Below are 12271 nucleotides of genomic sequence, written 5' to 3'. Positions count from 1 at the left end.
GACTCTGGGTGACACATCCATCTCTGGCTCTGCAGCCTCTCTGAGACCCAAGGCAAATGCCCAGCTGCTCTCCAGCCACTGCCCGCTGGACATCCAAGGCCCTTCAGTCTCAACACATCTAGACCGGAGCTCACTGTTCTCTTCTCCCTCCAACTGCCTCTTCTTCTTAAATTCCTTACTCGGAGAATGTCCTTGCCATTTTACTGAAGGGTTCAGTGACATTTCTTCACCCAGATGCTCTTCTTTCCCTCCATCTCATCAGTCACCAGGTTCCCGGGATTCCGTTTTGCCCACACCCACAGACACGTCTGCCCCTTCCTGTCATTGTCACCGCATCTGAATGAGGTCGCCTCCTCACATCTCTCTCTCTCTTTTTTTTTTCTGAGACTGAGTCTTGCTCTCTCCCCCATGCTGGAGTGCAATGGCACGATCTCAACCCACTACAAACTCCGCCTCCCAGGTTCAAGTGATACTCCCACCTTAGCCTCCTGAGAAGCTGGGATTACAGGCACCCACCACCAGCTAATTAAAAGTTAGCTGGTAACCAGCTAATTTTTGTATTTTTAGTAGAGATGGGGTTTCACCATGTTGGCCAGGCTGGTCTCGAACTCCTGACCTCAGGTGACCTGCCCACCTCAGCCTCCCAAAGCGCTGGGATTACAGGCGTGCACCACCGTGCCCGGCCTCCTCACATCTCTTGACTGGGCTGTTGCAGCTGCCTCCAGCTGGCCTCACAGTCACTGGCTAATGTTTGGCGAAGCCAGCCTGCCTGGGCTTGATCCTGGCTCAGTCACAGAGGGCTGTGTTCACCTGGGGCTGGCTGCCCTTTGCTAGGATGTGCGATCTCATTATGTGAATTTACATACATTATTTCAATTAATTTCATTTACTCCTGTCAATAAGCCAGTGGGATTAGGATTATCATTGAGATGGAAACTGAAGCACTGGGGGGTGTACTTAAGTTTGTGCAACTGGAGGATGGCGGTGCTAAGGGCCTCGGACAAGGTCTGACTCCAGTGCTGTGCTCTAACCATCACATACGCCCCTCTGCATCTTTTAGTGGGTCACAGGATACCCCCAAATTTTGAAGGAAGTGTTCATAAAATGGTCATATATTCCAGTGACAAAACTACCTGTTTTCAGGGCCAGTATTAATCATGTGAATAAACACGAGAGGGTTGACAAGTCCAAGAGAGCATTTTTGACAGAGTGTTCTGAACTTCTGGTCTTTTGCCAAGTGAAAGAACAAGATAAATCCCTGGGATGAAATTAGGCTTCATGTAAACAACGGCAGTTTCCAGCCTATAAAATTTTAGTATCATTGCTGTAACGGTCTATAACAAGTTATACCACATAAAAGTTTTGACTTAAATGCAACATCACTGCATTCTCTTTAAGGCTGTAAGGATGTGTTATGCGTGCTTTTTTTTTTTTTTGAGGCGGAGTCTTGCTCAGTCGCCCAAGCTTAAGTGCAGTGGCATGATCTCGGCTCACTGCAAGCTCTGCCTTCCGGGTTCACGCCATTCTCCTGCCTCAGCCTCCCGAGTAGCTGGGACTACAGGTGCCCGCCACCATGCCTGGCTAATTTTTTTTTGTATTTTTAGTAGAGACGGGGTTTCACCATGTTAGCCAGGATGGTCTCGAGCTCCTGACCTCATGATCCACCCGCCTCGGCCTCCCAAAGTGCTGGGATTACAGAGGTGAGCCACCGCGCTCGGCCAGGATGTGTTATGCTTTTGTGAGTTCAGAAACATAAGGAATAGCCAGAGTACTGGGATTTCTTCTGACTTTGAAAGCCACGGTGCCACAGGAGGCTGTGGCAAAAAACGAAGACAGCAAGTTAATAAGGATATGCCCAAGGCCACTGCACAACTCCAAAACTATTGTCTTTCCTTGGTCACTTCTGCCTTCATTAAGAAAGACATTTACTTGGGAAAAAAGTCATCAAAATCCCAGAGTGGAGAACATTCCTTCTGTTTTTTTTCCTTTGTGTGTGTGTGTGTGTGTGTGTGTGTGTGCATGCGTGCATGCATGTCTGAGCATGTGTGCACCAGGCACTTCCTCTGACAGTAACTAAAGACACAGATTAAAATCATGCCAGCATTTTGATACAAAAGAAAGCCAGCAAATGTCCCAAAGAGATTGCTTCCTTCTTGAAAGATGTATTCCAGACAGAGAAATAGCAAATACATAAACTATAACAAGAAATAATTGAAAAAAGGAAAAAAGACAAATCCTATCTACAGCTGAGGATTTAAAATTCGAATAACAATCCAGGAAAAGAATCATATTAAAAGAGTAGTTGAGTGGAACATGATAACCCTTCCCCAGCAGGAAGGTAGTGAACACAGTCAATGAAAGATGAAGAAAAATCAATGGCATTGACTCTGTTACAACTCCATGGACTCAATAGCAGAAAAATTCACCTGAAGAATGGTGAACACAGCTTTGTTTGCTATATGTGTTCATTTGGCAGATTAAATATTTTGATTCACACCAATTCACATCAAGTATGCTTTTAATTGGTGTAGACCCAGGGCCTCTGCCAATGGTCTCTCATGTGCGTGAGCCCCGAAAGCCTAGTGCACAGCCTGCAGAAAAGTCTGTGTGACCCAGGTTAGATCAGCGGTAAGAGCCAGCAGCCCGTGATTGTATTAGCCATGTAGATTACATTTTATTAATTTGAGCAAATGCTTAAAAATAGGTAGGTTTCAGAAATTCCGAAGACCTGGCAACTTTGGGCCTGTGTTCTCACAAAGCAACAGTGGGATGAAGCTAGGATGCAGCTGTCCCTTTTAGACAGGGCACGCACTCCCCGCCTTAGCCCTTGTTATGGACTGAATTGTGCTTCCCATCCCCCTGAATTCATATGTTGAAGCCCTAACCCCCCACATGACTGTATTTGGACATAGGGCCCTTAAGTAGGTAATTAAGGTAAGATGAGGCCGTAAGGTGGGGCCCTAATCCCGCAGTGTCCTCGTAAGAAGAGGAAGAGACACCGGAGATCTCTCCCTCTTTTTGTGTGCACACAGAGGAAAGGCCATGTGAGGATACTGTGAGAACGTGGCCGTTTGCAAGCCAGGAAGGGAGCCCTCACCAGAAACCAACCCTGCTGGCACCTTGATCTTAGACTTCCAACCTCCAGAATTGTGAGAAAATAAACGTCTGTTTTTGGTCATTCAGCCTGTTGTGTTTTGGTAGGTAAGCAAGCTGACTAACACATACCTCATGCTCAAGACCATGGGAGTTATCTGAGAATTCCTCTCATTACCTACCCTCCGCACCCAGTCATCTGACCTGCTCCCCAAGCCCGTGAGCTCCCCACTCCTACTATACCACACTGCCCTAGTTTGGACCCCATGATTCCTTGTCTTGACCACTGCCTTCTAACTGGAAAGTTCCATCCCACCTCTGCACCTGCTTAAAATCCAGCCACGGCATGCTTCAACCATGCTCCATCTAAAAATTAAAACGGGAGCATATCTCCTCATAGTCACAGTGGCTCCCAGATTCTTGTGTTGTTGCCAGAGGATTGTGTGGGGTGCTACGTCCTGTGCAGGAAAGAAAGCTGAGTCATCAGGATCGACCCCATGGGGGAGAAAGAGCACCAAGACACCTATGGAGCAATGTACCCCAGTGCTCCATGAGAGGAGCACAAAGAATTCACAGGACACAGGGAGTTAAACCTTTATTTCCACTAGAGGACTATGGGAAGGTCTTCTTGAGGACTCATCATGATGGGAGACGGGACTAACCTCACACTAGCAGGCATGGAGTGATAAAGGGCACTTGACTGGACACAATGGCTCACACCTGTAATCCCAGCACTGTGGGCCAAGACAGGTGGATCACTTGATCTCAGAAGTCCAAGACCAGCCGGGGTAACATGGTGAAACCCCATCTCTATATAAAATACAAAAGTTAGTCAGCCATGGTAGCATGTACCTGTAGTCCCAGCTACTTGTGGGGCTGAGGCAGGAAGATTGCTTGAGCTGGGGAGGTCCAGGCTGCAGTGAGCCATGATCACACCACTGCACTCCTGACTGAGTGACAAAGTGAGATCCTGTCTAAAAAAAAAAAAAAAAAAATAGCGACATAGTCTTACTATGTTGCCCAGGCTGGTCTTCAACTTCTGGCCTCAAGTGATCTGCCCACCTCAGCATCCTAAAGTGTTGGGATTAAAAAAAAAAAAAAAAAAAGACACTGCTGGAGCAAGTGCACCTTCCCTGGGTCTGAGGTCTCTGAACCCAATGCCCAGCTTTCGGTGCACATTTCCAGAATAAACAAATGAATGTGGTCAGTGAGCAAGAATAAATGGCTGTTAAACACAATGGCAGCATAAGTAATTATCTGAGGATATTAATGGTCAATAAGTCATATTTCTGACTCAAAAATTTCCAGCTAAATCCATTTTAAAGCCTAATAAAATCAAGAACCTTTGTGTGTTTAACTCAAATCTATATAAAATTGATAAACAATGTCAACCTCATGTAACAGTATGCGTTTTAGTGTAGATATCACTGGGTGGAGGATACATACAATACACTCCCCCTGAAAAGTGAGTCATTTGATTTTACGTCATTTTAGATATGATGCTGATATATAAACTCTATGAGGCTATGAGATGATGTCTTCAAAGAGTACTTTCAAATGTGTTACAAGAAGCTGACTCTTTAGAGCTCACCATTCTATTCTTCAGACCATATCTCATCACATTTGTTTTTCACAGATTCATAGTCTAATAACTTTTATTATATATAAAGCATTTTCTGCTTCTCATATCCTTTATTTTAAAATTATGTTCAACTGTATAATCACATCAAAACAACACTATATTGTCACAACTCCTGATCCTATTTGTCTTATTTTTTTTTGTCAGTTTCTTGAGATGACAACTCTCCCCCCTTTAAAAAAATTCTCCCCTTTTTGAATTATTTTAATTTGATGCATTTTAAAAATTTTGGCTGAAGTAATTTCCAATTAATGTCTTTCCAGGTAGAGCATGGTGGCTCATGCCTGTAATCCCAGCACTTTAGGATGCTGACGTGGGTGGGTCAGTTGAGGCCAGGAGTTTGAGATCAGCCTGGCCAGCGTAGTGAGACTTGTCTCTATTCTTTTATTTGTTTATTTATTCATTTTTGAGACAGGGTCTCCAGCGCACCACCCAGCTAATTTTCGTATTTTTTTGTAGAGATGGGGTTTTACTATGCTACCCAGGCTGGTCTTGAACTCCTGAGATCAAGTGATCCACCAGCCCCAGCTTCTCAAAGTGCTGGGATTACAGGCGTGAGCCACCGCTGTGTCTCTATTTTTTTTTTAAGTTTCCTTCCAGAAAAATATGTGGATGAGGGTATACTTTGAGTACTTGCATATCCGAAGATTTATTTTACCCTCACACACCAACAATGGTTTAACGAGGTATGAAATTCTAAAGTTACACTTCTGTATCCTCAGACCTCTGGAAACGTGTGCTCTGCGATATTCTGGAGGTGAGCACTGGAGGGGAGAGCTCTGCTACCGCTCAGCCCGCGTCCCTGTTGAGATAACCTGAGTGTTTACTGTTTTTTGTTGTTGTTGTTGTTTCTTCAAAAATATTTCCCTTTGCTTTAGAAATTAGATATTTCAACAGGATACAACAGCTAGGTTTATGTTGTTTTAAATTATTCATTCTTGCAGTGGACAAGTCCTCTCAAACTCAATATTTATTGTATTCTAGATCTTAAATGAAAGTTGCATTCATTTATAAGCGGGCATCTTGCTAAAGTCATGGAATAGCTCCTTCTCCCATGCATAGCAGAGAGCACAGACCTGAACAACTATTCTTCCTTACACCTCACAAAATTGCGATCAAAAGCCCAATTATTATTATTTTGTCTTAAAATTTAAAAGGCAACAAGTAGTATCAGGAAATCGTGATTTTTTTTTCATTCTACGGTAGAGTGCATAGAACCATGTTTTCTAATTGTTGTAGGAGCACACGTATTTGCTATAGCTAAGCTCTGAAAAATACTACTAGGAGAGCAAGCATTTGGTTCCTTGAAAACGCTGGGATTCTGCACCCACCCTCCTGCACGCAGTTACACAGCGAGCACACTGCGGCCCGCCACCCTTTCGTGCAGCTGGTTCTCAAGCGGAGCAAATCTCCCAGAGCTGGGGTTGAGCTTCCAAAGTAAAATGCAAGTGCTTTGAGAAACCTGAGAAAAACAAGCAATGGGGAAAGGATTCCCTATTTAATAAATGATGCTGGGAAAACTGGCTAGCCATATGTAGAAAGCTGAAACTGGATCCCTTCCTTACACCTTATACAAAAATTAATTCAAGATGGATTAAAGACTTAAACGTTAGACCTAAAACCATAAAAACCCTAGAAGAAAACCTAGGCATTACCATTCAGGACATAGGCATGGGCAAGGACTTCATGTCCAAAACACCAAAAGCAATGGCAACAAAAGCCAAAATTGACAAATGGGATCTAATTAAACTAAAGAGCTTCTGCACAGCAAAAGAAACTACCATCAGAGTAAACAGGCAACCTACAAAATGGGAGAAAATTTTCGCAACCTACTCATCTGACAAAGGGCTAATATCCAGAATGTACAATGAACTCAAACAAATTTACAAGAAAAAAACAAACAACCCCATCAAAAAGTGGGCAAAGGACATGAACAGACACTTCTCAAAAGAAGACATTTATGCAGCCAAAACACACATGAAAAAATGCTCACCATCACTGGCCATCAGAGAAATGCAAATCAAAACCACAATGAGATACCATCTCACACCAGTTAGAATGGCAATCATTAAAAAGTCAGAAAACAACAGGTGCTGGAGAGGATGTGGAGAAATAGGAACACTTTTACACTGTTGGTGGGACTGTAAACTAGTTCAATCATTGTGGAAGTCAGTGTGGCGATTCCTCAGGGATCTAGAACTAGAAATACCATTTGACCCAGCCATCCCATTACTGGGTATATACCCAAAGGACTATAAATCATGCTGCTATAAAGACACATGCACACGTACGTTTATTGCAGCACTATTCACATTAGCAAAGACTTGGAACCAACCCAAATGTCCAACAATGATAGACTGGATTAAGAAAATGTGGCACATATACACCATGGAATACTATGCAGCCATAAAAAATCATGAGTTCATGTCCTTTGTAGGGACATGGATGAAATTGGAAATCATCATTCTCAGTAAACTATCGGAAGAACAAAAAACCAAACACCGCATATTCTCACTCATAGGTGGGAATTGAACAATGAGAACACATGGACACAGGAAGGGGAACATCACACTCTGGGGACTGTTGTGGGGTGGGGGGAGGGGGGAGGGATAGCTTTAGGAGATATACCTAATGCTAAATGACGAGTTAATGGGTGCAGCACACCAGCATGGCACATGTATACATATGTAACTAACCTGCACATTGTGCACATGTACCCTAAAACTTAAAGTATAATAAAAAAAAAATGCAAGTGCAGCTCAAGTTCTTTCTCAAAAGGCAGCAGGCCACACCCACCCACAACACTGTGATTGGAATAAAAGCTTTGCGGTCAAGCTAAAAGGCCTTATAAATCTCCTTTCATCTGTGTTCTTAAAACAAACTGCCAGCCTCCTCGTGTAGCAGGAAGTGAGAGGCTAGGGTAGACATCCCCGGGGATTCGACCCTGTGGAAGGTGATCAATCGAGGGGGAGACTTCCCAGAGAGGCTCATTAATTAGAGAGAGCGAGCGGCAGTAAGCTCAAGGCACTGGGAGGGGCAGAATCAGCCCGTAGTGTCCTCCCGGCTAGGTCAGGGGAACCATTCCACCCACAGTTTAAACGCTCTGTAGCCCGTCCGCGCCCGCCGCCCGTCCGGGTCCAGTCCCGGGATTCAGGAGCCCCTCCCGCCGCCGCTCCCCGGTGCCCGCCACCGCTCCCCGGTGCCCGCCGCCCCCGCGGGCCCGGCGCGCTGTCCCCGGGGCGTCAGCCGACCTCGCGGCCGGGACCTACCGAGCAGCAGGAGCCGGTGCGTCTGCTGCAGGTCGCGCTTCTGGTCGCGCAGCATGCGGTCGATGCCCCGGCTCACTTTCCTCGCCTCCTTGACCGCCTCGCGCTCCTTGGCCGCCTCGCGCTCCTCGGCACTCAGCTGCTCGGTGCGCTGCCGCTTCTCCTTCGGCTTGTCTGCTTTGGGCCGAGCGCATGCCGGGCTCCCTTCGCCGCCCCGAGGGAGCAGGGTCCGGGCCGTGTCCCTTGCGGCCGCCCGGACTGGGGCCAGGGCCGGGGCCGGGGCGGGCTGCGCGTCCTCCACCGGCGGCTCCGAGGCCGCGCAGGGGTCGTCCCCTGGGCCCCCGAAAAGCAGCGGCCGCAGACTGTAGCACAGACCCATGTGGGCGCGGCACAGCGGGGGCGGCGCGCGGGACTAGGGCAGGCTGGGCGCCGAGGGCGGCCTGGTTCCCGCGCCCAGTTCAGGCCGGCGCCTCAGCGGAGGGGCGGGAGGGGGCTGCACCCGGACCCTGTTCGGCGCTGCCGGCCGCCAGCTGCGGGAAGGGGGTGCGGCAGGCCGGGGCCGAGGGCCACAGCCCCTCACTGCCCCAGAGGGTCATTTTGCATTTTCTGCTGTGTGCAAGGGGTGGCGGCCGCCTTGGCTGGAGATCACTTGCTAACGCCCAGAGCGGACCGAACCGACGGGCCTCCGCGAGCCCGGCCCCCGTTACCGTAAATGCCGCCGCCGGTCCAGCCCTCGCTACCGTAAATACAGCTGGCTTTCGTTACCGTAAATACTGCCGCCCAGGCTGGTCCCCGTTACCGTAAATACCGTCGCGCGGGCGAGTATTCTGTACCGTAAATAATGCCGTCTGAGCCCGGCGCGCAGCTGCGGACAGTGCCGCAGTGGCTGTGCACTCAGCACCTGGAGCCGCAGTTGCGGCAATCAGAAAACCAGGGTGGCTTTGATCTTGGGCGATAGTAACCGAGGACGGAAAGCTGGGTGTAGGAATAGAGACCGTGGCTTTAAAGCCTTCAATTTCCCCAATCCATTTCTTGCAGAGATCTCTGCACCTTGCCACTCCCTTTTCTGTTCATTATCTTACACCCACGTCTGCACACTCTTTATCCCTACTTTAATAGTACTATACCTTTGATCTCTACAAAATCTCCAATTCTGGAGTCTGGTCCACGACACCATTTTCAACAATCTCCACCCTTAAAAATGAAAACCGAGCACATATAATTGCCATGTACTATTTATATTTGCTGAAATGAGAATATGAGATTATACACTGTATTTTCTTAATCCACAATATAGGGCAGAGAGGAGCAGATGCGCCTTCAGACTGGGTGCGCTCTCTCCATGACGCTGAGAAACAAGCCTGCCAGAGGTGCTATGTCTTCGGTTATTTCCCGCTGAATGCATAGCATCTTATAGAGCTTCTGCAACAGGTGAACATTTCAATATAGCTTGTGAAAAACCTGCTGTAAGATGTGTTCCTTGGAAAATGACATGGAATATTATAGCTGATAGTTAAATACATCTCTCATTAACACACCAGATTAGGCTGCTTAATGAAACACAGCATGCAGCACAGTGTGCACTGTACCCGTTGGCACTAGATGTAAATACTACATTGGATTACATTTTTTCTTTTTGAAACAGTCTGGCTCTGTTGCCCAGGCTAGAGTGCAGTGGTGCAATCACGGCTCACTGCAACCTCCGCCTCCCCGGTTCCAGTGGTTCTACTGCCTCAGCCTCCCGAGTAGCTGGGACTGCAGGCACCCACCACCACTCCCAGCTAATTTTTCTTTTTTTCTTTTTTTTTTTGAATTTTTAGTAGAGACGGTTTCACCATGTTGGCCAGGCTGCTGGTCTCGAACTCCTGACCTCGAGGGATCCACCCACCTTGCCTCCCAAAGTGCTGGGATTACAGGCGTGAGCCAGCGCGCCGGGCCTGGATTACATTTTTAAATCAAGAAGTTGGAGATCCGGCATTCACATTTCTTTTGGGGGTCCTACTGATAACAAATGTGCATACATGTACTACTTTTGACCTAACATTGTTCCCCAAATTTTGCTAAAATTATGGCATACTTTTAGATATTTGAGCAAAAGAAAGGAGGACTATAGAAAATCTAACTTGGGAAAATAGAAAAAGTTACTAAATATCACTGTCATTTTCGCTATTCATTCACTCATCCATCTATCCATTTATCCATTCATCCATTTAATTAAGTGCCTACAGTACCCTAGGCATTCTTGTTGGTGCTGGGTGAGGCAAAGACAGGGGTCCTCATGGAATTTATAGACTAATGAGGTAGAAATATACTCAATCATAAAAACACAGGTAAATATATTAATTGTAAATTACGCTAATGCCATGAAGGGAAAAAACAGGATTCTCAGAGTATAAAGGAAGGTCCTGTTTAAATCGAGATGGGGAAGAGTAGTGTGTGAGGCAGGAAAGGCTTTTGAAGAAACTGAGACCCAAGAGACTTACAGCAATTGCTTTTCTATTATAACTTATTAGCTAAACTTTATCAATATCATACAAGAAGGATAATATTTTGTATACTAAAGTCAGCTGAAAATGAAAACAAATATTTTATGGATTTTTTTTTTTAAGACAGGATCTCTCTCTGTCACCCAGGCTGGAATGCAGTGGCATGATCATAGCTCACTGCAATATAGAACTCCTGGGCTCAAGTAATCCTCCTGCCTCAGCTTCCAGAATAGCCAGGATTACAGGTGTGCACCATCAGGCCTGGCTAATTTTTTTAATTTTTATTTTGAGTAAAGACGAGTTTTCACTATGTTGTCTAGGCTGATCTGAAACGCCTAGGCTCAAGGGATCCTCCCACCTTGGCCTCCCAAAGTGTTGGGATTATAGGCGTGAGCCACCACACCAGGCCTAGAGTGGATTTTTATACTTAAGTACGTCAGTTAAAATGTGGCCCCTCATTGAATAATAATTTCAAGACAGTGATAGCAGAACATTAAACCATGTGTGTGGCCCTTGTATGAATTTGCAGGTCACAGGCCCATGAAGCTGGCTGTACTTTCTGACTTGAAATGTCACAGAATACAATTTGGAGCTGGGAGAAAAACCAGACCATTAGCAGTGAAATCCTAGAAGGAAAGAAACTTCAGAGGTGTGACCCCCTCACATTTGTATATCAAATCTACTCAAATCTTTGGCAGATCACTGAACAACAATGGATGGGGGAGACCTCAGTGGCCTGACAAAATACTAGAAAAGCTAAAAGAACAAAGATTTCAGGTGCTTCTCACTTTAGGGGAGACAGAGTTTGGAGTCTGAGTCAAGCCAAGTGAACTTTTTATAATAAGAAAACAAAAATCATTCATTAGAGAAATAAAACAGAACTCCAAGTCTCTACAACATATCATTCATAATGTCCAGTGTCAAACAAAAAGCACACTAGACATGCACAGAAACAGGAAAATATGACCCACAAAATTTGATGTAAATTGATGCCTAGATGACTCAACCGTAACAATCAGCAGACAAGGATTTTAAAGCAGCTATTATAAATATGTTCACATATTTAAAAGAAGAGATACACATAATAAATGAGCAAATGGAGAATCTCAGCAAGAAATTGAAGCATAACAAGAAATAAATGGAAATACTGAAATTGAAAATTACTATAACTGAAGGAAAAATTCACTGGAGGTGCCTAACAGCAGACTGAAGACAGAATAAATTGAGGAACTACAAAATAGATCAATAGAAATGATCCTATCTGAAAAAAGATGGAAGAAAAGCAGTGGAAGAAAAACATACAGATCTTCAGAGACCTGTTGGTCAATATAATCTCGTCTAATATAAGTGCAGAGTCTTAGGAAGTGAGGAAAAAGAAAATTTTGGAAGAAATAGTGGCTTCAAATTTCTGATACTTGGTAAAAGACAATTTATAAATCCAAGAAACCCAATGAACCACAGGCAGGACCAATACATAGAAAATCAGACCTATGTACATATAGTAACATTGCTGAACTCCAAATATGAAGAGAAAATTATAAAAGCAGCTGAAGAAAAAAGAGACATTATGTGTGATAAACAACATATGAATAATGTTAGCTTTTTACTGGAAACAATAAAGGCCAAAAGGCACTAGAACGACACAGTTGAACTGCTGAAAAACAACGATTAACCTAGAATTTTACATGCTGCAAAGTTATATTTCAATAATAAAGGTAAAAAATAAGATAAAAATCTGAGAGAATTTGTCTTCAGTTGACCCACACTATGAAAAATGATAAATGGAG

At 45.1% G+C, this 12271-nt stretch overlaps 1 protein-coding gene across 2 annotated transcripts in view, besides 4 other annotated features; it reads right to left on the bottom strand.

Annotated features, from left to right (window-relative positions):
• The window catches only part of GNAL (G protein subunit alpha L), a 196422-nt gene extending 187745 nt beyond the window's left edge, over positions 1-8677 (bottom strand). For both annotated transcript variants that reach the window (NM_182978.4, XM_006722324.4), the window contains exon 1: positions 8002-8677. In NM_182978.4, the coding sequence (NP_892023.1) occupies positions 8002-8377 (376 nt within the window). In that variant the 5' untranslated portion in view covers positions 8378-8677. The remainder of the gene's footprint in view (positions 1-8001) is intronic.
• Positions 694-1195: an enhancer, noted in NCBI's record as "H3K4me1 hESC enhancer chr18:11696745-11697246 (GRCh37/hg19 assembly coordinates)". NCBI's record gives its function as "activates a minimal SCP1, AML or CMV promoter by ChIP-STARR-seq in naive H9 embryonic stem cells {active_cell/tissue: H9 hESC(naive)}" and the evidence as "EXISTENCE:reporter gene assay evidence [ECO:0000049][PMID:30033119]".
• Positions 8286-8786: an enhancer, noted in NCBI's record as "H3K27ac hESC enhancer chr18:11689154-11689654 (GRCh37/hg19 assembly coordinates)". NCBI's record gives its function as "activates a minimal SCP1, AML or CMV promoter by ChIP-STARR-seq in primed H9 embryonic stem cells {active_cell/tissue: H9 hESC(primed)}" and the evidence as "EXISTENCE:reporter gene assay evidence [ECO:0000049][PMID:30033119]".
• Positions 8286-8874: a biological region, named in NCBI's record as "H3K27ac hESC enhancer GRCh37_chr18:11689154-11689654".
• Positions 8725-8874: a silencer, noted in NCBI's record as "silent region_9300". NCBI's record gives its function as "represses an Ori minimal core promoter by ATAC-STARR-seq in GM12878 lymphoblastoid cells {active_cell/tissue: GM12878}" and the evidence as "EXISTENCE:reporter gene assay evidence [ECO:0000049][PMID:35858748]".

This window comes from Homo sapiens, chromosome 18, assembly GCF_000001405.40.
Source record: "Homo sapiens chromosome 18, GRCh38.p14 Primary Assembly".
NCBI classification, from domain to species: domain Eukaryota; kingdom Metazoa; phylum Chordata; class Mammalia; order Primates; family Hominidae; genus Homo; species Homo sapiens.
The sequence above is the reverse complement of the archived record's forward strand: the minus strand, read 5'-3'. Positions and strand labels throughout refer to the sequence as shown.